The sequence below is a fragment of the Homo sapiens genome, chromosome 1 (genome assembly GCF_000001405.40).
Source record: "Homo sapiens chromosome 1, GRCh38.p14 Primary Assembly".
Taxonomy (NCBI): Eukaryota; Metazoa; Chordata; class Mammalia; order Primates; family Hominidae; genus Homo; species Homo sapiens.
In genome coordinates this window covers 202,580,432-202,602,939 of record NC_000001.11, presented here as the reverse complement: position 1 = coordinate 202,602,939, position 22,508 = coordinate 202,580,432, and the positions used below count along the sequence as shown (strand labels likewise).

The 22,508-nt window shown below is 49.0% G+C and overlaps 2 protein-coding genes across 16 annotated transcripts in view, besides 3 other annotated features; one reads left to right on the top strand and one right to left on the bottom strand.

The window, feature by feature from the left end:
- The window catches only part of SYT2 (synaptotagmin 2), a 119,859-nt gene extending 107,515 nt beyond the window's left edge, over positions 1–12,344 (top strand). For all 8 annotated transcript variants that reach the window (NM_177402.5, XM_011509192.3, XM_017000312.2 and 5 more), the window contains 5 exons: positions 395–562; positions 883–1,050; positions 2,466–2,583; positions 3,589–3,722; positions 5,977–12,344. In NM_177402.5, the coding sequence (NP_796376.2) occupies positions 395–562; positions 883–1,050; positions 2,466–2,583; positions 3,589–3,722; positions 5,977–6,183 (795 nt within the window). In that variant the 3' untranslated portion in view covers positions 6,184–12,344. The remainder of the gene's footprint in view (positions 1–394; positions 563–882; positions 1,051–2,465; positions 2,584–3,588; positions 3,723–5,976) is intronic.
- The window catches only part of PPP1R12B (protein phosphatase 1 regulatory subunit 12B), a 244,004-nt gene continuing 231,733 nt past the window's right edge, over positions 10,238–22,508 (bottom strand). For 7 of the 8 annotated variants that reach the window (NM_001331029.2, XM_017001345.2, NM_001410283.1 and 4 more), the window contains one exon: positions 10,238–22,466. In NM_001331029.2, coding sequence (NP_001317958.1) covers positions 22,380–22,466 — 87 coding nt within the window. In that variant the 3' untranslated portion in view covers positions 10,238–22,379. The remainder of the gene's footprint in view (positions 22,467–22,508) is intronic. The other variant, NM_001197131.1, reaches the window with a different exon arrangement.
- Positions 11,000–11,826: an enhancer, noted in NCBI's record as "H3K4me1 hESC enhancer chr1:202560242-202561068 (GRCh37/hg19 assembly coordinates)". NCBI's record gives its function as "activates a minimal SCP1, AML or CMV promoter by ChIP-STARR-seq in primed H9 embryonic stem cells {active_cell/tissue: H9 hESC(primed)}" and the evidence as "EXISTENCE:reporter gene assay evidence [ECO:0000049][PMID:30033119]".
- Positions 12,952–14,151: an enhancer, noted in NCBI's record as "BRD4-independent group 4 enhancer chr1:202557917-202559116 (GRCh37/hg19 assembly coordinates)". NCBI's record gives its function as "activates an origin of replication core promoter dependent on BRD2, P300/CBP, MED14 and CDK7 cofactors, and independent of BRD4, by STARR-seq in HCT116 cells {active_cell/tissue: HCT116}" and the evidence as "EXISTENCE:reporter gene assay evidence [ECO:0000049][PMID:35650434]".
- Positions 13,497–13,546: an enhancer, noted in NCBI's record as "active region_2336". NCBI's record gives its function as "activates an Ori minimal core promoter by ATAC-STARR-seq in GM12878 lymphoblastoid cells {active_cell/tissue: GM12878}" and the evidence as "EXISTENCE:reporter gene assay evidence [ECO:0000049][PMID:35858748]".

The following is a 22,508-nucleotide window of genomic DNA, read 5'->3' as shown; positions in this document are numbered from 1 at the left end:
GAAGGGGGATAGAAACAGCTCCCTCAGAGATGTGTGGGCACTACTCCTTTCCATAGAATGAGGCAGGCTGGAAACTGCAGGGCCTATAGCTCTGGACATTGATGCTGGCTTGGCCACTAGCCTGCTTTGGGGAAGGTTCCAAGTTGATTATGCTATTAACCTCCCCACCAACCTTGGGCAAGGCAATTTCCCTTTCTCAGGTTTCCTAAATGCCATTCCAAATTCCTTGGGATGGAAATGGAGACCAATCTTCCTCTCTAGCACCAGCCTCCCGCCATTTCCCTGCCCCAACTGCCTCCTCTGGGACGGAATTGGTGGGTGCTGGGTCTGGGGCCAGTTGTGGTATTGGAGCAGTCCTGAGACTCAGGCCCCTTCTCCCCATCTCTCTCCACAGCTTACTGTGGGCGTTCTGCAGGCTGCTGAACTGCCTGCCCTGGACATGGGAGGCACCTCAGACCCTTATGTCAAGGTCTTCCTCCTTCCTGACAAGAAGAAGAAATATGAGACCAAAGTCCATCGGAAGACACTGAACCCTGCCTTCAATGAAACCTTCACCTTCAAGGTGCTGAGGGCTGGAAGGGTGACTCCAGCTCCCTGCCTGATCCCAATTCTCTGCTGAGTTCTACAGACCTTTCCTTGGTCCTTAGCCATGGCTCAGCCTGGAACAATGGCAGCCTTGACTGCAGGGCTACCCCGGCCTCTATGGAGGATCGGGATCCCTCCCACCCCACCCTCACACTCTGCTCCCCAAAAGCCTTGGTCTTTGTCTGTCTCGGCACACTAACCTGGACCCTGTGGGCTGGAATGCAGGCCCCTGCCCATAGCACCCCTGGAGGTGCGTGAGTCGCTCTGGCCCCCTCTGATTCTGCTTGTGCCCTGCAGGTGCCATACCAGGAGCTTGGGGGCAAAACTCTGGTGATGGCCATCTATGACTTTGACCGCTTCTCCAAACATGACATCATTGGAGAGGTAAAGGTGCCTATGAACACAGTGGACCTCGGCCAGCCCATTGAGGAGTGGAGAGACCTGCAAGGCGGGGAAAAGGAGGAGGTAAGAGCAGAGATGAGGCCAGGTTGGGCAGAAAGACGAATGTACAGGTGGGCTTCCACCTCTTGGCATGATGGAAACAGGGTGGGCTTTGGAGGCAGACGACCTGTGTTAGGATCCCAGCTCCACACTGCCTGGCTGTGTGACCCTGGGCAAGTTGCTTACACTCTCTGGACTCGGGTTCCCTCCTTTAGTCTTTTTTTACAGATGAGGATTCATTACCTGCATAAAGCGCCTAGCGCAGCGACTGGTATTTGGTAGGTACTCAAATAAATAAAAACACCATTATTATTGTTACTCCTAAGCTTCTGCTATTACCTAAGGCCAGTGATTCACGCCTCTGTGCCTCAGTTCACCCACAAGAAAAGCTCATGTTTGTTCTAAAGGATACTCAGCAAAGGGACTTGTCCTCCCAGAACTGCTACAGCATCCATTCACTCACTAAATATTTGCTGAGCAATTGCTGTGTACCTAAAACTCCATTTTAGCCATTCTTCCTTCTGGGCATCAATCATTTGTCTTGGCCAGGGCCCTGCTACCTGGCACACTCTAGGCAGTGATGGAGGGCTGAGTAGAGAAGCTTAAGACATCCTTTTTTCCCTTTTGTCCCCTGTGCCTGGGAGGAAGGCCAGCACACCTGAACCAGGACCTGTGTGATGTCGTCAGTCTTGCCCTGGGTGGCTTTGACTTTGAGCAGCTTTGACTCTGCAGTGTGGTGTTGGCCTTAGGAATTAGGAGCCCTGGGTCCTCAGCCTGCCTACAGTGCTAAATTGTTGTGTGACTTTGAGCAAACCATGGCCTCTGGGAACCTCAGTTTCTCATTGGTTACAAAGAATTCTTGTCTTGTTTACATCAAAGAGTTGCAGTGATAGTAACAAAAGGGATGCAAATTGCTCCGAAAACCACAAATCATACTACAAGTGGAATGGTCCACAAGGAGAGATCTTGGTGGGTGGGACTGTTAAGGGAAAGAAGGCTTCTGAGACATTCAGTCCCCCAGGGCCCTTGGTGGTGGACACGTGGCTAACCCACCCGCTTCTCGCACACCTTCCCACCTTACCAGGGCCTGGGGTGGGAGCCCAAACATACTCCCAACCTCCCAGATCCCAGATCCACCCAGGGATCCCTCCCTCAGTCCTGCCACCGCAGCTGTCCTCTACCCCCCTCATCTGTCAGCATCCTCAGCCCACGGCTCCTGAGGTCCCAACCTGTCACTTTCAGGGACTTTGTTGCACTGCATCAGGGGGACCCAAGGTCAGATGCTGGAAGACCTTCTCGGCCATCACATATATGGGGACTGGTGATGAGGGAGGCAGGGACACATCACTGCCTTGCTAATTTTGGCAAGAAAGAGGTCAGCCATGAGAGAGGCACTAGGATGGGTGAGATGACCCAAGTCCTGCTCTTCCCCTGGACAGCCGGAGAAGCTGGGCGACATCTGCACCTCCCTGCGCTATGTGCCCACGGCCGGGAAGCTCACTGTCTGCATCCTGGAGGCTAAGAACCTCAAGAAGATGGACGTGGGCGGCCTTTCAGGTACGTGGAGAGCTTCTGGCTGCCATTGGGTGGCACCAGCGAGCCAGTCAGCACCAAGTCCCAGAGTTTGCACACTCCAGTGAAGAGGAACACTTTGCTGCCCTGGGACTGAGATGTCTCCTCGAGGAGCGGGGGAGCCTTAGCTTCCCAGGCCCTCCTTTTCTCCAAGGGCCCCTTGTCCCCATCAGAGCTGCCTTCCCAGCGCTCTCTGGCCATGCACTGTGGGCTACAGAGAAAAGGATCAGAGAAATTTCATCCCCAGATAAGTTTGTGACTTAGGATTTTACTTCTCCCAGGGAAATGAGCAGGGCTTAGCCCAAAGCATGACACCACAATCGAGACATGTTTCCAGAAGAGGCTGTAGGCTCTGCTGGCTCTGCCCTGGAAAGGGGAGGGTGAGGCAAGGGAGTGGAAGATGCTCTGAATATCACATTTACCTGGCAGTGAATGGGGCTGGCCCATGGCACAGGGCTCTAGTGGATGAAGCCTGCTGCCTCAGCTGCCTTCCCAGAGAATCAGCCCTGGGCATGGGCTCCAACCAGCGCGTTTCAGTGCCAGCCTGGCTCTGTCACTGACCCGCTGTGTGACCTCGGGCAGGTCATTTCCGTTCTTTGGCCTCAGTTTCTTGTCTGCAAGATTAGGGGGATCGGATTGGGATTATGACCCAGCAGATGTGTGTCCTGACTTCAGCACTCCCCACCCACTCCCCAGTACAGGATCACAGATGAATCCCCAGACTCTTTCTCACAAGGCCTTACTTAGACTCAGAAATGCCCTCCACCCAATGCTTCAGGAAGCCACAACCAACTGGTCACAGTTGGTCCTGGAGGTGAAGCCTTTTGCCACCTTTGAACTGGATGGCATGACTTGGGGCTTTCTGAGGGCCTGGTCTCAGCGGAGTGAAGACCCCCTCTTGACCGATGCTCTGGGCAGGCCTTGGTACATTCGGCAGGAAGGCTGGGGGCTAAGGGGAACCTCTCTGGGGTTGGGATTCTCCCTCCGCAGACCCGTACGTGAAGATCCACCTGATGCAGAATGGCAAGAGGCTCAAGAAGAAGAAGACAACCGTGAAGAAGAAGACCCTGAACCCATACTTCAACGAGTCCTTCAGCTTTGAGATCCCCTTCGAGCAGATTCAGGTGCTGGAGCCCTGGGTTCCTAGGCATGGAGCAGGGTTTGGGGAGGCAAACATGTATGGGGAGGTTGAAGAGAGGGAACTCACCTAGAGACCATGGAACAGCCTTTCTTGGTAGGGGAAGGCTCGAGGTCTAATGGTGCCTGGGTGGGGCCTCCTTCCCAAGTGCTTCAGGGATCCCCCTTTTCTGAGGAGATAAACATGAACTAATTCAAAAAATTCTGCAAATCATTCGTTTAGGACTTGAAGGACCATGGTCATGCACACAGATGTATGGGGGTATAGCAAAGGTGCCAGAGGGGTTGGGAGCTGGCTGAGAGGGTGGGAGTGGCCGCTGCCACCTCCATCCTCTCCAGCCACATCCTGTCTTGGCCATCCCTGCCCCACTTCCACTGCTCTCTAGGTCTTTCCCATCTACTCCTCTGATCTGCTTCCTCTCCTCTCTCCCTCCACCCTTCCAGCCTTCTCTATTTTTCCTTCCTTCTCACCAGCAAGTTCTGTAAATGTTGGAGATGAGGTCTGGTTTTCACCATTTCCAGGTATGAGTGGGATCTGGACGTGGTAGGACAAGAGACCCACCCACCCACCCATTTGGGCGGGAAGTCAGGCGCAGCTGGGGGCTTGCAGAGTGGTCGGTTATCATGGAGTCTTGGTCTCTCCTTCTTTGTAGTGAGCTGATCCCACCCCCTCTCCTCCCCGCAGGAGGGCTGGGGGCAAGGGTACAAGAGAATCTTCAGAGTTGGTTCTGTCATCTATGGAGATGTGTATGATGTTATTGATGGAATACTTCAAGGGAACACTGGGCAGCTCAGTGATAATGTTAATCCAAGAGAAGTCCTCATTACAGAGAATTTTAGATCTAGAGCATCCTGACCCAGGCATCTCAAATTCAACATGCCTAAAACCAATGTAATGTTCTTCTTCCTACCTCTTCCCAGCCAAGCCTGTTTCATCTGAATTCTGTTTTCAATGAATGACCCCACAGTCCATCATTTACCCAGTGGCCCAAGTCAGAAACCTGGGCGTCACCTTAGACTGACTATTTCCTTTTTCCTTTCTCATTTATCCAACATACTTTACTGAGCATTTCCTAAGTGGTAGGCTAGGGGATGAGGAAATAAGTGTGTAATCCACACACTCCTTGCTCTCAAGGACCTCACAGTGGGAGGGCACCAGTAAACAGTCTAGTAAAGCACAGTGAGACGACAGCTTCAATGTCCATGAAGCGGAGGACTGTAGTGAGGCTTCCCAGAGAGAGCTTGGTCCTGAAGGACAAATCTGAGTTGGCTGGAGTCACAGGGGAAAAAGGCATCGAGCATTCAGCAAATCCAGCTGATCATCAAGTCCTCTTGATTCTCTTCCTAAATACCTCTCCAACCTGGTTTTGACTTCCCATCCCCACTGTCCCTGCCTTGGTACAGGTATTCGGGATCCATCCTCCCAGACCCTCCAGCATCCTCCAATGGGTCTCTTCCCTGCCATTAGGCCCACTCCTCCTCCAGTAAATCTTCCAACTCAATGCCAGGGCTCTCTCTCTCAAATGTCCACGACACTCCTTTTCTTAAAGTCGTCAGGAGTCCCCTACTGCTTGCCTGAAAGACAAAATGCAGACTCCTTGGCTGACCCCAACCTACTCTACCAGCCTCATTTCCTGCCTCACTGCTTCTCACCCTATACCTCAATGACTGAACATCTAATGTTTCTCAGATGCCAAATGCACTCTCAGGTCTCTATGCCTCTACCCAAGCAAATCTGTTTTCCTGGAATCCTCTTCCTTCTTTTCTCCTCCTAGAGAAATTCTCAGACTTCATGTCCCAGTCACCTCTTCTGTGAAGCCTTTTCTGATTGGCCCCAGGACTGTCACCTCCTCTAAGTTTCCACAGTACCTTGTGCCCATCTCTCTAGCATAACCTTTATCAATTCATGTTGTAAGTTTTCAGTTACATGTCTGCTGATCTCATTGAGGAAGTGAAATTCATCTTTTCACTTTTCCTTCCCTCTTCTCCCCCTCCAAGTGCTTAACAGGGTCTAGAGCACAGTACATCCTCAATAAATGCCCAGTGGTAGAAACAAAGGCTGCCAAAGGCGTGGCCTCTGCCTCCATGTCAATTCAGTCTTCACTGGAGCAGAGATGAAACCAAGGAGCCCCAGGAGGCCTTACCTTCCCAATCATTGGGAGTAGAGGTTGATGGAGGATAAATTTGGTCATGGGATCCCACGTCTCTGTCTGCCAACTCCCTCCCTCGTTTTCCTTGCAGAAAGTCCAGGTAGTGGTCACCGTGCTGGACTATGACAAGCTGGGCAAGAACGAAGCCATAGGCAAGATCTTCGTGGGCAGCAATGCCACGGGCACAGAGCTGCGGCACTGGTCCGACATGCTGGCCAACCCCCGGAGGCCCATCGCCCAGTGGCACTCGCTCAAGCCTGAGGAGGAGGTGGATGCACTCCTGGGCAAGAACAAGTAGACAGCAGCGGCTGGGACCCCACACCTTTCACGGACACTGACAAGATCCAGAGCTATCAATACCTCAGTTATGCAACCTTAGAGGTTTTCTTTTTTCTTTCATTTGTTGGGTGGTTGTGTCCTTGTTTTTCCTTGTTTTTCTCTTTTTAAAGACCAACTTCCCTTTGATGGCTGTGTGAGGAGAGTCCCCTAAGAGGTGAAAGAGAAGCCTGGCTCTGTTCACGGTCCCAGGAGCTGTCCTTGCTGCATGCCCTGTCACAGTTCCCTCGACTCTTTCAAAGCTTCACATCTGCCTCACCCCAAGCGAGGCTCTCTACTGGCACAAACTTGCAGCAGTTCCTGTTTTTTGAGCCTTCTGGACCAACAAAATGGCAGCACATCCTGCTTCCTGACAGGGAAGGCATCACAGTGGCCAATGATCGTGTGTGTGTGTGTGTGTGTGTGTGTGTATGTGTGTGTGTGTGTGTGTGTGTGTGTGTGTGTGTGTGTCTTTGAGCATTTCTCTTCATTCCTGGAATGTGTGTGTGTGTGTGTCTCTTTGAGCATCTCTCTTCATTCCTGGAATGAGCCATGGACAGTAAAGTTGTGTGGGAAAAGAAGGCTCTTTGGGGACCCTGACATGAAGAAGTCCACTAAGTGGGAGATCTTCTCTCATCTATGGCAAAGTCTCAGGATCCTGTTCAGATATCGGGGCTTTCATACTCCTGTTGGTGGCTATTTGGGAGGCAGCAAGATGTGAAGACTGGATGTGTTCAGAACTAGGACCAAACGATGCCATCAAATACTTCCTCCTGCCAGTCATGGTTTCCCCAGAAGTGTAGTTCCTGGGACATTCATGGATATGAGCTATTCACTAGTTGGGTCAGACTAACAGGGACTCTCAGTCCCAAAATCTCACTCTTATTGACAATAAATATCAAACTATGAAGAAACAGAAGTCCCATTACCAGAAAGACCAAAATTAAACTCCTGGATCTTCACCCCATCCAGTGGGAAACACAGATGCTTTCTCCCTTTCCAGAATATAAGCAGCCAAGTTCATTTGCATTTATTCCCCATTGTGCTTTTGCTTCTGTTTCTCTTTTAAGTGGAGCAACACTGTCTGAAGACACGTTATCTGTGCAGAGCCAGAGAACTTTAAAAGGAAAGTTTAAATGTTCTTAGTTCTCCTGAGGTCCAGGTAAGAAGGGGGTGGTAAGAAGAGGATGGGGGACAGATGGCTGAGATCCCTTGGGAGGAGATATAGGGGAGCACTGGAATTCCCCCGACTCCCACTCCTTGCTCCCTTGGCCCTCTGCCCTCCATGCTGGAGAGCTGATAGGTAGCTGGAGTGGCCCAGGGAGACCTATGGGAAGGACCCGTCCTACCATTAGGGGGCTTCTCTCTATGAATGCTAAGAAACAAAGGGCATCCATTCCAAATGAGTAGCAGAGGTGACCTTCTAGGGTTTCTACCCATGCTCAGTTGTATCCCATTCCCTGTTCACCTTTTGTCCCCAGCACTGATATAAAAGCCATATATATGTTAGTCAGGTTTGCACTGAGTCTTCTTCCAATCCTTCAGCCTGGACAACAGAGTGAGGTCCCCTTGTGGCCAGAGGCCAGCCCTCCTTGCCTGCCTTCCTTTGACCTCTCTTTTCCATCCATGAAGCCCTCAGGCCCTTGCCATTTTTTCACCACAGAAAACTCATGGCTTCTCCAGAAGCCTGAGTATCTCTCTTTCCCAGCACAAATGGCAGCATCTCTATCCTGCCCCATCTGGGCCACTTCAGCTTCCTGTAGACACCCAAGACAGATGGACAGTGTTGGAGGGAATCAGGCTTTGAGGATCCAGTGTGAAGAAGTTGCAGAGTGTCTTTTTATTTTATTTTAAAAAGGGGGAAGGGGCTTTTGGTTTTGCTTTGTTTTTTGGATGAAGGAGTGAGGGAAATGAGGGAATACCCCCACCAGAAACAGACTGGAAAGCCTGCCTGTCTCTTGGAGATCCTTCTTTGTCTTGTTAGTGGTACATGGGAAGTTATGTTTTTACTGGTGTGTGTGTGTGTGTGTGTGTGTGTACTTAATGATGGGAAGGTAAGACTCTGATCAGGATTATGAACTGCGGTCCTTGGGACCAAAGGTGTGGTCATGGTAGAGAGTTGTAGGACAATAGGGTGTTTTCAGAATCTGGGTGGCCACAGAGTGGGATTTCCTGGTATGGACATCAGAAGTCACTGGACTCTTCTCCCAACCCCAGAGTTATGGGATTTTGGTGCTTTCTCAGGGTCTCTCCCCAGACTCACTCTTCTCACCCATATCCCACAGACTCACTCATGGAGACCCCCTTGTCAATATCCCCTCTACCTTTACTCCTTTGCCCTTTCCCAATTCATCTTCTACCACCTGGATTCTTTTCCATTCATGAACTTCATTCAGCCCTTCCAAAGCCCAAGATTTGCATTCCCTTGACAGGGAGGAAAGGCAATGGTAGGAACCTCTGGTGGTCTGGGTGTCTATGTGCCTGGTGACCAGGGCTGGATTTTTATTACTCTGAGCCCACTGCTAGTGAGGAGCCTTGAGGGGTGGGGACAGGTTGCTGAGTGATTTTGAACGTTGACACCAGTGTGGAGCCAGTGTGGGTGTGGGGAGCAGTGCCTTCCTCAGGTCCCAGCTGGTCCTGATATGCCACGTAGTGGATGGCATCTGTCTTGGTCCATGGGCTTGGTGGGAACATGCTTCTGCTTGTGTGTTTTCCATACCTGAGGGCTGACGTAGCTTAAACCACAGGGCATCATGCCAAACACTCACTGCTGGGCAGGTTTATTTCTGGGGATGTCAGGGTACTGGGGTGTAGGCACTAAGCAGGATAGAGTTAGGGTGTCTGGCTAGTAAGGGGTTCTGGACGCCTCTGGGGCTGTGAGTTTTCATCTCAAAGTCTGTTCCAGAGAAAGGAAAGTAGTATAGAGGTGATTTTTAGAGAAGCTGAGACCATGAAAACAAGCCTAATCCCATCCAGAAACTGGGGTAAAGTCTGAAAGTTCGTTTTCTTCTTCCTCCCTGAATAATTGTTCCAGAAGGGATGCTAACTCTGCCAGAGCTACAGGCAGATTTTTGGGCTTTGGAAGTGGAAGCTGAGGCCTGGGGAAGGCTGGGTAAGGAATGCTGGGGCAATCTCAGACAGTAGGCAGGTGCTTGGCATGAATGAGAAGTGACTTTCCTGGAGTCCCTCAGTAGAGGATGAGATAGCAGGGATTAGGCCACAGTCTCAGATCCTGATCTTTTTTCTTCCTAGGAAAGCATACATAACTTGTGTCTGCAGAATCAGTGTGGGATGATTTTGCTGGCCCAAGGCTTCAGCGAGAGGGAGAAGAGAGGTCACTACAGCCCTCCTGTGGGTAAAAGCAGCTCTCTTATAAACCTGCCTCCATGCAGTGGGGTGGGGGTAAGGGTGGGTGACAGCAAAGAGGTTGAGGAACCTCCCTGGGTTTGGGGAGTGAGAGCTTCCATGTTCCCTTAATGTCCTAGGTTAATTCATAAGGCATCTGAGTCCTGGGTCTCACCCAGCCTCACAGAGAGAAAAACTGTCCCTGAGGGTGTCCCCTCCCACTCAAAGGTAGAAAGAGATTGAGCCAGGAACTGCCCTCATATCCTCTGCTCTGCCCCTTCCCTTCCCTTTCCTCTGCCCCTCCCACCTAAAGCTGTTTGGGGCCCTTTCTCAGAGCCCTGGGTGGTGGCAGGCAGGGAGGAGTCCCAAGATCCTGGTGGCCCTGAGCCCCATGCTATGGTTGCCAGATTTGGCAAATAAAAATACAGGATGTCCAGTTACATTTGAATTTCAGTTCAACAACAAACAATTATTAAGTGTAAATATGTCCTAGGCAAATAGTTGGGACATATACTAAAAAATAATTTGTTGTTTATCTGAAATTCAAATGTAACTGGTCATCCTGCATTGTGTCTGGGAACCCTACCCTATGACTTTTCCCCCTCTCCCTTTGGTCCCAAGGGGCCAGGAACCCCAAGGATTTGACTTAACCAGTTTTTTGAACTGCAATATTGAGAAGGGGACACTGTGACTTGAAGACACATGAATTACTTTATTTTTTAAGCAACAACAAAATAAGAACCTTCTGAAGCCATTTGAGCCTCATCTGCCCCCATCCGTGTATATTTAATTATATATAAAAGAAGATAATTACCTAGAAACATATGAACAGAATCTTGTTTAATCAAGATGCATGTCTATAACTTTCTGTAAATAGCCGCATGGCAATGCTGAGAGTCCCCTTGATCCCCAACCTCAAACCCATTTTACAGAACTGGTTGAGGCTGCTCCTTTGATTTTATGTCGTGTAAAGTCTTTGTTCCCCAGCCCCACCCCTGCCTCCTCCCATCGGGAAACCCCCCATGGGAGTCATCAGTGGGCGGGAGTCGGTGCCTGCTCCAGTCCAGCCCTGCCTTGGGAGATGCTGGAGGACCCTGTCGCCCTGAAGGCCTGTTTGCTGCACATCTGCCTGCAGAGCCAAACCTCAGGGCCCGGTGCAGTGTCCAGCCTGGTATCTGGCATCCCAGTAGCTTCCATGTTCTGTGTATGTGTGTGGTGTGCCCCTTCCTCCCACTGTTTGAATTCACTGAAAAGCCATAAAGGGGGCCTCCTGCTGGAGATTTGGCCTCCCTTGGCTCCTCCCAGGAGCCCCCATGTCTCTCCAACTGGCTCCCCACAGACCACTTCTGAAGGGCTCACCTGTTGTCACTCCCTCCTGCTCCCTCAGTCCCGTGTCATGAGAATGGACGGTGTCCAGGGCTTCCGGTGGGGTCTCAGGAGATGCCCATGCTGGCCCTGCCCGAGCTGGCTTTCTCGGCCTGGGTTCACAGTTCAGCTCCATCTCTACGCTGGGCGAGGAGCAGACAGCAGTGGGACTCCATGGTTCTGGATACCTTTCCTGGGGTCCCTGTGGAGGCAACCAGGATTTTCAGGAGCAGCCAGTCAGCAGCTCAGCCAGGGATGACAGAACCATCCCTGCTTACTCACCTCTGTAGTGTGAGGGTCTGTGGGTGGTGATGGAGGAGGGACTCAGGGAGAGGCCGGTGAATACAGGGGCTGACGCTCTTCCCTCGTGCATCCTCCTGCAGTCTGACAGAAAGCAGCCCAATAGCGGGGCAACCTCAGGGCTACCAGCGATCCCCTGAGAGTGGGGTGGGCAGGTTCAGCTGTGAGAGAGGCTCAGGCAGAGCAGGTGTGGACTAAGTCCCCTGACCTTCACACCTGCTCCCCAGAGAAGCCCCAGCCAGTTGCACCAAGTAGCAGAGGTGAGTAGAGGGGCCTGGGGGCTTCCAAGGCCCCAGGTCATCCTGTTGAACTGAGAGGGACAGGTAGCCCCCCTGCCTGCGGCCCCTGGCCCCATGGGCACCTGAGGGCAGTACTGCATGGGAAGAGCCCAGGATGCCTCAGGCCTGGCAACTGTGACAAGTATGAGGAAGGAGAGAGAACGGGAAGGGAATCAGGCAGGGCGCATTCGAGGAGGCCAGAGGTGGCGAGGCAGGCTTGCCCTGCACAAACCACAACAGAAGTTGCACACAGAAGTCCCAGGGACCTTTGTGCTGGGAACTGAAAGAGTGGGGAAGGTGGAGGGGACCATTTCAGAGCAGGCTGGAATCAGGTGCTTGGACCAGTGAAGACATGTCTTGCTTCCTCCAGCTCTCTCTGGGGCCCTCCCACTCTCCACACCCACAGCAGAGACAAATTGAGGCAAGAGTTGAGAGAGCATCTGTCTGGTGAGGTGATGGGAGCAGTGTGCATGGGGCACCAGGAGTTCCTCCATCCCACCTGCCTTAGCGATCAGGACTTTAGGGGGGCCTCTTCAAAGATAGTGACCCTTCTGCCCTGACTCCTGCCCATCTAAGGACTTGATTTGCTGCTTTCTGAAAACCCTGGGGCTGAAAACTTCAAAATCAGGGCCTGGCAGAGCCTAGCTTCGCCAAGGTCAGCCCACCAGGAGCCCTGCCTTCGTCTCCATAGGAAGGACACATGTACAGCCCTTGCCCCCGGCCCTCTCATTCCCACTTCTGCTTGGCAATGCTCTCCATCTCCCTTATGTGGACTCTTGTTCTTGTCTGATCTCTTGTCAAATTGTTATTTTGTAATGAACTGCGTCTCCTTATTAAAGAAATGAGCTGAAAGAAACCTGGGGGTGGGGGGTGTCTCTGGTTGTTTTTGCTGCGCTGAGGTGGGGGTGAGGGAGTGGGAGCTGCCTGTGAGGGTCAGTATGGTGGGTGAGGGTGGTGAGATGGTCCTGAGGCTCTGGCTTCTAACCCAGAATCTCCCTTCAGGGAAGCACCAAAAGGGGCTGAGGTCCCCTCTCTCCTGGGGTTGGGGGAAGACCAGATTGGCACTCTGGTGGGTGCTGGGGCCCACACATCTCCTGAGAACACATGCCAGGCTGTGGAACTGTGGGGAGTGTGGTGGTGCCGGGGAACATTGTCTGGGAGGCTGGGCGGGGCGGGGTGGTGGTGGGGACTATATTCTTGAATTCCCTTCCAGTAGAGCTGGGCTTAGGGAACAGCCACAGTCTGAGCCCAATGACGAGAGGGAGGCTGGCCCTGGGAAGTGGGAATTTGAAAAGTAACAATTTCTACAAAGTCCTCAGTTGACTCTTTGCAAATAACTTGAAATGTCTTTAACTTCTGAAGCAAAGATGTTAGGGACCAGGGATAGGGCGTCAGAATTTTTAGGGAAAGGGAGAGTGGGACAGCATTGCCCCCAAAGACCAGGGAAGAGTAAAACTCCTTCTTCGGTTCCCACTTCCACCTGTCTCCTCTCCTTGAGGATAGACCAGCAGCTACCATTTTTGTCAGTTTACACCAGCACCTGTCCTCCAGGAACACCGTTGGCTAGATGTGTGCTTGTCCATCAGGTCCAAAGGCATGGGGGCAGTGAATGCAAGCAGGGATGGGAGCTGCCCACCTGAGGGAGCATGAGCCCAGATCCTTTAACATCTATCCTGTCTTGCTGCTTCAGTCCCTAAGGCTGGGTAGGGTGAGGGGCATGAGCCTTTCAGCAGACGGACTGGGATTTATCACCTGAGGGTCTCCTGGCTAAGAATATGAGCTTTTTACTCTGCCAATAGGTTGTGGCCTTCTCCTTTCCCCCCAAGAGGGCTGGACCACGTGACGGCTAGGTGATACTGTATCTGCAGACCTTACTACAACCAGTGGGGGTCAGAAAGAGAAATGACATTTGCAGTCTAGGAACCCTTTGCATCGGTCATGCTTCTTTGCCTCTGTTTTGTGCCCCAGGACAGGACTGAATTCTTCAACCATGACATCAAGTGTGCTTGTTCTGCTGCTGCTTGGGTTACAAACAGCTGGGTGACATCAGGGGAGAAGAATCTTCCCTCCCTGACCTCTCCCCAAGTCAGTGACCAGGGATTTCCGCTTGGCAGGAAACACAGGGCTGAGCAAAGCCAGAGGCAGGGCTTGCTGGATGGAGAAACCAGACCCAGATCCTGGCTGCCTGGGGTCAGACCTGGCCACCCACGTACAAACCCTGCCAGCGGGCCTGAACAGCTCTTCTCTGGGCATGGCTCCTTCATTTTGAGTTTAGATTTAACCTTCAATAGCCCCCAAGTTAACTACATTTGTAGTTTGGAACTACAGGATAGTTTTGGATCTCCTGAATTAAACAATGACCTCATGAAGACTTATGGATATAGCAGATGACTAAGGGTGATGGCAGGAGACTTCCATGAGCCCAAGGAAATCACCACCTCCCTAGACCTCAACTTTCCCATGTACTAGAGTGTGCTAGTGTTCACCTGGATGGCCTCAACACCTTTGTCACTTAAACCTGGTGTCTTCCAAGAAATAACCGTATATACTCTTGGTTACTTGAAGCTTGGAACCTTGATATCTATCTATCTATCTATCTATCTATCTATCTATCTATCTATCTATCTTACGGTTCTTTTGAACGCCAATCTAGGCTTCTCCTTGGCCTGACTCCATTTAGGAAATTCCTTGATACTACCAGAGACCCTTCTCAGTGGCCATGACTCACTGTGGCTGTCCCTGGGGAAGGGGCCTCTATGTGGACAGGAGTTGTAGGAGGCTGGTGGGCGAGGCCCCCACCAATGATAAGATGTAAAATCAGAAGAGGCTGCCCCAGATGTGAGATTCTAGAAATCCCATGCTCTGAACTGTGGAGACAGTCACAAAGTTAAAACACAGTTTTATTTACTCATTTATAAATACTGTTGTGTTTACAGGCATCATATAGAAGTGAATATTATTATTCCCAAACTTTCAAACACAGAATACTCAAAACTATATAACAACAACCAGTAAAACAAAACCATTCATCTTAGGGTTGAAAGGCCACTCAAAATTGCATAAAAATACATTCAGTTCACAAAGCAAGTCTGGCTGCTTCTCCCTAAACAACCCCAACCCCACCCCATCCCAGGTGTATTTACAGTGGACTGAAGTTAATCCATACAACTCAGCTGAAAAACAGTTACATCTGGTGTGTGAACCTTGGTGGAACTAGGGTGAAGGGTGGAGTAAAGACACAAAATGCTACCACTAAAATGGGAGAGGCATGGAAACCTCAGGGTGGTTCTTTTCACCCCTGTTGATCAAGGTCAGGGCAAAGACAAGGAGGAAGGAAAACCATAAAGCCAAAGTCTGAGTGTGAACCACTCAACTGAGCACAGGCTGTAGCTTCTCCAAGAAGGATGCAAGGGTGAAACATTCTTTCCTTCCTTCTGCAGGGAAATCATTGCCCTGGTGTGCCAGCCAGTGGTAGGCACAACCTTTCAAAAGTTCAAGGGATGCTGGCTAGAAAAGGAGGTATTCTGGATTGCTGCCTCCTCTCAGAACCCTCTCCTACCCCGCAGCCTGCCTCCTGGTGTCTTTTTTCCTCCAAACTCTCTTTACCTAACCTCTCTTCATCAGAAGGCAAGCGGGAATCTGTTCCGGGTTTCAGTAGAGTGGGAGAAAGGACAGGCAAAGGCACAGATATTTAGGCGAGAGTCAAGCTACTTCTGGCCCTTGCATGTCCCTTATTCAGGAATAGTGGGCCCCGACGACTGGCACTCCGACTCTCAACTCTGGTTTTGGGAGAACATTAGAGGCTCTTAAGAGGCTCCCCACCATCAGTGTGCCTTTCCTGAATCCTTGCTCTTTGAATGGGCTGAGCTGTTGCCACCAGATGCACTGATACACTGATTGATTAGGTTTGTGCTGGGAAGACACACTTCTGTTTTAAGCTATAAACAGTCTCAGGATAAAGAGTAAACCAGACATGGCTACTCATGGTCTCCTTGGCCAGGCTATGGAGGAGTCATACGGGCCTAAAAGTCAAACCTCATCTCTGAGGGGACATTAGCATAGCCGAGGAGCTTTGAAACTGGAATAGGGGGCGGTGGTGGTGGTGGTTGGTATACCCAACTTCTACAGGAATCTTGGCTGATTCATGGAAAACCACCTCTCTAAAGCACCCTCGGCTCCAAGTGAGAAAAGCAAGGAATTAAGAATGCAGAGGGAGATGAAAGGGAGAGGAGTGAAGTGTATGCTTATTCTGGAAGGACATAAGAGCATCCTGATGTCACCTTAAGGGGCCACCCAAGTAAATCTTTATTGGAAACATCAGGGAAAAATTTGGAGGAGAAATAACAGAAAATATCACTCTGGCAGATTCATGGTCCAAAATAAGCAGATGAATTGGGGAACAGCTCAAATAGGTCCTTTGGGGGATTAGAAGGGAGGGGGAAAAACAAAAGATATGATTTAATAAATAAAATTGGTTTCTGAGTTTTCATTTGTAATCAAGTATATGCCAGACCTCATTTTAAAAGCTCTGGGCTAGCAAATGTGCATGTGAACGCACATAAGCTAGATCCAAGAGTTATCCCCAAATTGCTAAACCTTTTTAGGTAAGGCCAGAACATTCATTAATGGTATTGTCTTTAGACACACCCACCTCTTACTTACAGTTCTCCCGAAGGAGGGCTTCCGGGACACTGGGTTGTAAGCCAAACCTGGGTTCTATGTTTGCCCTCAACCCCAACTCTCAAAGGAGAAGTGAATGCATCTTTCACCATGCAGCTGCTGGCTGCTGGCCAAGATTCTGTGTTTTTTCTCAGCCCTCAGAAATCACCTCATTCCTAGTAGCTGTGACCAACAGTTCCTGGACTACAATGAAGTTGATCTATTTTCCAATCTAATCAGAACACAAAAGATCAATAGCTGTCCCTGACAGGGTCTACTGCTTCCTGAGCAGTGTCAATACCCATTAAGGAAGCTGATTAAAATCTCTGCTCAGCTGGAGCCTGAGGGATGAAGTCACCAGTGAGACAGAACTCATTTCTGTGTGACAAAGCTTTGTTTCTGTGAAACTCTCTTCCTTCCCAGTACTTGCAGCTTCCACCCTGCTCTATGTCCAAAGCCCCTGGGCCTTCTGCCTTCTTCCCATCGCAGCACACAGCCACCTCCACTTCCAGGGTCTCTGCCCTTTCACTCCAATTACACCAGGTCCTGTAGGAGGCTTGTGAAAGCCAAGTGCTGTTCTATGCAATATGGTTGTGTGGACTCTGGGTTTGTAAACACTGCTTTGGTAGTCTCCTCTTCAGACCTGCTTTGAAGGAAAGACCATCTTGAATGGTATCAGAACCTCCTACTTCTGGTAAGTCCAAAATCCAGAGGGGGAGCTCAATGGAACTAAAGATTGAGGTTCTTGTCGAGGAAAATTTTCTTGCTGCTGTAAGGCAGAGTTCAAGACAATGAACCAGACGGTGCTAAGCAGAAAAACGATTAGTCTGCTATTTGGGTGTGAAGAGCCAATGTAGATCCCATTTTAAGAAAGCTGAGGAAAGGTGGTTGAGGAAACCTATGAAGCAGCAGGTCTATTTCCTATTAAAACAACTTGTCCAAAGGCTGCCTGCAACAAATTGCTTTCTATCCATTTCTCCATGAGCTCCAATTTCCACCTCTGCAGGCTTTAATATTCTTACCAAGCCAGCAGGAGGGAAAGCCATTGCAACATCATTCAATTACCCTCAATATTAAATTCACTTCCCAAAAAGGATGAGAAGTCAACCTTGATGTGCTCATATTAAACAGTTTAAATCCAGAAGAAAACAAAAAATTCTGGACTTGGATTTTTGAGGTTAGAAAGAATTTTTGAAGCAGAAATCCCAATAAATATGCTGATCTTCCTAAGAATGAATAAATCACAGAATTTTAAGCCAAAAGGAAAGGGCACATAAAGATTATCCAGTCCAACCTCATTTTACAGACAGGGAGGGTGACCTGCCCAAAGTCACATGACTAAAAGGAGAAGGGGTGGCCTTGGAATACAGATGTTCTGACTTCTAGGGTCTTATCTTTTAATGTTGCCTTTTTGTCCTCAAAGCTGCCTGCTTATTGGGTTGGAAGAACTCACATCTTATGAAGGGTTAGACCCTGCCTTGAAAATCAGTATGGTAGGCTGGGCGTGGGCCCTTACGCCTGTAATCCTATCGCTTTGGGAGGCCCAGCCAGGTGGATTGCTTGAGCCCAGCAGCTTCAGACCAGCCTGGGCAACATGGCAAAACCCCATCTCTACAAAAAAATTCAAAAATTAGCTGGGCATGGTGGTGCACACCTGCAGTCCTAGCTGCTCGGGAGCTGAGGTGAGAGGATCCCTTGAGCCTGGGAGGTGGAGGTTGCAGTGAGCTGAGATCACACCACTGCACTCCAGCCTGGGCGAGAGAGTATGGTGACTAAGATTTGTAGTAATAACTGGGCCTAGATTTAGGCCAATTACACGACCTCTGATTGGTAAGTGTGTGCTTAAAGTGCGGTCAGTGCTGGCATAAACAATGGGGTTTGAGGGCCCCTGATGATATCTCTGAGGGAAGGATACCAGGGCTCCTGCAGTGTTACTTCACTGATAAGCTCCAGTGGAACCAGTGGCTCATCTGGTAGAGTAGAATTTCCCTTTTCTTTCTGCTTAAATGCTGAATCCTTTCTGCTTTCTTTTTCCTTTTTGCACCTTTGGAGGTGCAAAGCCGCCTGGAAGCTGAATAACTGGCAACACTTTTAAATAGTTCTCTCTTCTCCAGGCTTCTTCTGCTCACTCCATGCCCACCTCAAGGGTGCCGACACTCACCAGTGGCCTGGACCGAAACACTGGCCTTTCTCTGAGAGGAGACAGTGTCTGTCTGTGGCTAGGAGAGGCTGCAAACAGGCCAAAAATCCAGACACCTAACAAAGTACATGGCTTTGAGAGTTTCTTCTTCCATCATCTTTGGCTCAATTAAATGCCTCTAGTGGAGAAACAGTCAGTAGTTTACACACACTTTCGTGGGATCCACAGACCATTAACTTGAGTTTTAGCTTCCTTGCTTCCTGAGTGGAACCATCTAATAAGCACATGGTTTGGGGAAGGGAAATGGGTAAAATGTTGCAAAAGAGAGATCTGAAATCTCACTAGTGGCCTCAGATAGCAATAAATGAATCTAAGTCTTCTTAAACTTGGGGTGGGAACTAGGACAGAAACCAGGGGAAGCCCAGAAGAGAAGTAAACACATCCTGCAGTTGGAAGACAGGGAGGTTCTAGGGAACATCAAATGAGAATGGCCCACTAGAGAATCTGGTACACTGAGTAAGCCCAAAGCATGTCTATTCTTTAGATTCTTTAGAGGCAACACCCTGAGATTTGCATAACCCTTTCGCTAGAGATTGGGATGGGGCTGGGGTCATCATACTCTGGAGCTATCTGGAAAAGGATCAGCAGCCCTGGAAAAACAAACTTTAGCCCCAGAATCTCTGGAATGGCCAAATCATTACTTCCAAAGGTGTGGCTCGGTTTTTGAAAAATAACAAATTAATGAAAACAGAGTTTTACCAGGAACATTCTCTTTCCCATTCTGATATTTCATGTAAAGACTCTAAGTTAAGTGACAGACCTGAGCCCCATGTTGTTGGCCATGTCTGCAGCTATTTATTCAGCTTGAGCTGCCTGGGGTGCTCATGAGTCTCCAAACCAGCAGGTGAGGACTGAGGATTGTGGCCACTGAAGAGGCCAGCAGTAGGTACCTGTCCAAGCAGCACAAGAAAAAGGAGACCTGCTGATGCCAGTATCCAGAGAGAACTGCTGGCTAGTAGAAGGCCTATAATTACCATCTCATGGGGCTTCCAGACAATACAGTTGTGAAGGAATGGTATTTTATCTCTGGAGATAGACCAGAAATCAGTTAATAAAATTAATTGCATAAGAGAAAGTACCTGAAATTACCTAGGATAGTTTACACTTACTTTCATGAGTTCTTGGCTATAGAATCCAGTATTCCTGAGATTGAAAAGCTTGCAAATTTCTTGTCACAAGGAAAACTTTCTGGCAAGAAAAGTCAGCTTTAACATGGAAGGGTCATGTGAAGTGGCAGGGATGCAACACCAATCTAAGAGTTTTGAGAATCTGCCCCCAGTACTTTTGAAAGGCACAAACAGATCTGAGGAGGCTCTCTGTAACCCCTTTCCCTGGTCTATTGAGTGGAAAAGGGTCAAGATGTATTCCTAATAATCCAATTTTCTTTTCTTGAGAAAGAAGTATCATCTTCCTTCCCCAATATTCAAAATGTTCCAGGATAATCAATTAGTCAACACCTTATGTTGATTTCCTCTCCCAGAATGAAGGATATAAAACTTATTACTCTAATTTAGCATTCCCTGAGAACTGAACTTACAGTACTCCCATGATAATACGAAGTCTCAAGATAGTAGCAGCTTCTCTTGAAAAATGGTTGGAAATGAAAGACAGAATTTTATACACTCTAAAAATGGGGTTTTGTCAGAGGAAACATATCTCCTGTTCTGTAATTGGGATTTTTTATTTATTTATTATTATTATTTTTTTTGAGATGGAGTCTTGCTCTGTCACCCAGGCTGGAGTGCAGTGGCGTGATCAAGGCTCACTGCAAGCTCCGCCTCCCGGGTTCACGCCATTCTCCTGCCTCAGCCTCCTGAGTAGCTGGGACTACAGGCGCCTGCCACCACGCCTGGCTAATTTTTTGTATTTTTAGTAGAGATTGGGTTTCACCGTGTTAGCCAGGATGGTCTCGAACTCCTGACCTCGTGATCTGTCCACCTCGGCCTCCTGAAGTGCTGGGATTACAGGCATGAGCCACTGCACCTGGTGGAATTGGGATCTTGAATTACAGCTTCTAGTTTAAACAGCATGTGGTGTTTCAGAGGGAGGACCATGGAGAGCTACATGTCATGTTAGGAAAGAATTAACAGACAGAGGTAGTATATATTAAGGGAATGAACCACTCTAAACACTGAATATCACTGGCAACCCTAAAATGATGAGGATTTAATGACTTGCACACTCAAGTGAACCAAGGGATAAAACTCCTACAAAAAGAAAATACTGTAAGTATTAATGCTAGGTTATCATCAAGAACTAATGGTTTAATTTTGCACTGGATTTGTATTCTTTCCAGGCCTGGACATGATATTTTAAAGGCTGGTTTTGTCTAGAGGAGGATGGCCAAGATGTGACAGGTAAGAAAAGCATGCCATATGAGGAATGACTTAAAGGACTAGAGTAACAGCAGCTCAAAGTAAGACTGAGGGGGAGACCACCCACTGCACATATCTCAAGTGCCGTTAAAGAGTTGCAGATAGTAGATCTGGACTACAAGGAGAATCCACAGGCAGACTTCAGCTGATATGAGGAAAAACTCTCTCGTTATTAGAGTTGCCCAACTTTTGAGTAATAAATGCATAGCCACCAGAGGCTACCTGACCATGCCCATGGGTGAAAGCTGTGGTAGCAGGGGTCCCTGTGACACAATAATAGAAAGCTGGACCTAATGACCTCTGGGTCTTGCCACTCTAAACTTCCATGACTCTCATCAATGGGTTGAAAGTACTTCATTCCATTAAACCTCTATTAAGTGCCATTTCCCCTATTAATTTCTAAGAAAGTAAATCTCTCTGCTAAATCTAACCACTGGAAATAATCAAATTCACCACTATTCTCACAGCCCAGTAGGCTGCTATCTTCCATCTTCTTTGTCACAATGTTGCAAGTGGCCTCAGATACTTGACTTTCGCCATATGTGTCTTTCCAGCCTGCTTCCACTTCCTAGTCCATCTCTCAACAATCTCCCCTCCCCACCTCTCATTCCTCCTTGCACTGACTTCATTTCTCATTAGAAGCAGGTGTCAGGGCGAAGAGAGGAAAACAAGGTCAAGGAAGTGAGGCAGAATGGAGTATTCAGAGCCCAAATTTTCTTATAAAGAAAATCACTTTGAAGGGGGAAGATAAGTGGGAGACGAAAACAATGAGCTGACACTTATGCCATAGTCTACCTTCCAGGGAGCAGGCAGTGGTGCTGCCACCAAGGCACCAGAGTGATGATTTTCTTGTCTCCAGAATAATGACTTCCCACAATGGCCAAAGACAACTGAGGTCAGGTGCTCTGTCCTAGCTTTTATACCATTGAGTGAGGGGGTGGGGAAGGGAAAAATATAAAAGGATAGAAAGGAAAGGAATAAATGAAGCCAGGGCCATTTGCGCCTTGGAGAAATGGCTAGGTATGAGGGAGGAATAAGGGTTAAAACTAGTTAGGGAGATTACTGGGTGTTGACAGAAAAAATAAAAGTCAGTTCCTGAGAGGTGAAGAAGAATAGAGCGCCTCAATGCAGTCACTGTCACCTTGGATGCTAACCATTCCAGAGGGCATCTGATGATCAATTCAACATCCTGCTGTTTCTCTTGGCACCCCAATCAGGATCCTGGAGTGGCTACCACAAGACTCACCTATATCAGAGGACACTGGGTTAATGTAAAAAGCTGAAGGATACTGATTAGGGTAGAAGTCTTACATGTTTGGACCAAATCCAATGTGGACAAAGTAGCTGAGCAGCAGGAAGTTGAGGGGTCCACAGCTGAGCCTGGTGTACTCCCCAGAGCATTCTCCAGATGGCTCGAATTACCACAATCATGCTTCAATTAAAACTGTCATAAAACTTGGGATAGGGGTTTGGAAGAACAGGGCATTGAAAGTGCAGAGAAAATGTAGAGTGTATAGAGGTGACTGAAGAGGGTGATAGAAAGAAGTGTCCTTCCACCAAAACATCCATTTCTTTTGGTTGGAAGGCAAGGACTGGAAAAGAGGGGTGGGGGCAGCAAATGCTGTCCCTTTCTTTCCTCATAAATCTGGAGCCTAGCCTACTTGGACAGTTTGCTGATGACTCTGATGAGGGCACCATTTTCATCTTTCAGCCTCTGGTTGTCGGATTTCAGTTCTGTTAACACCTGTAGGGTGACAGAGGGAAAGGTGAGTTAGAGCCTGGCAGG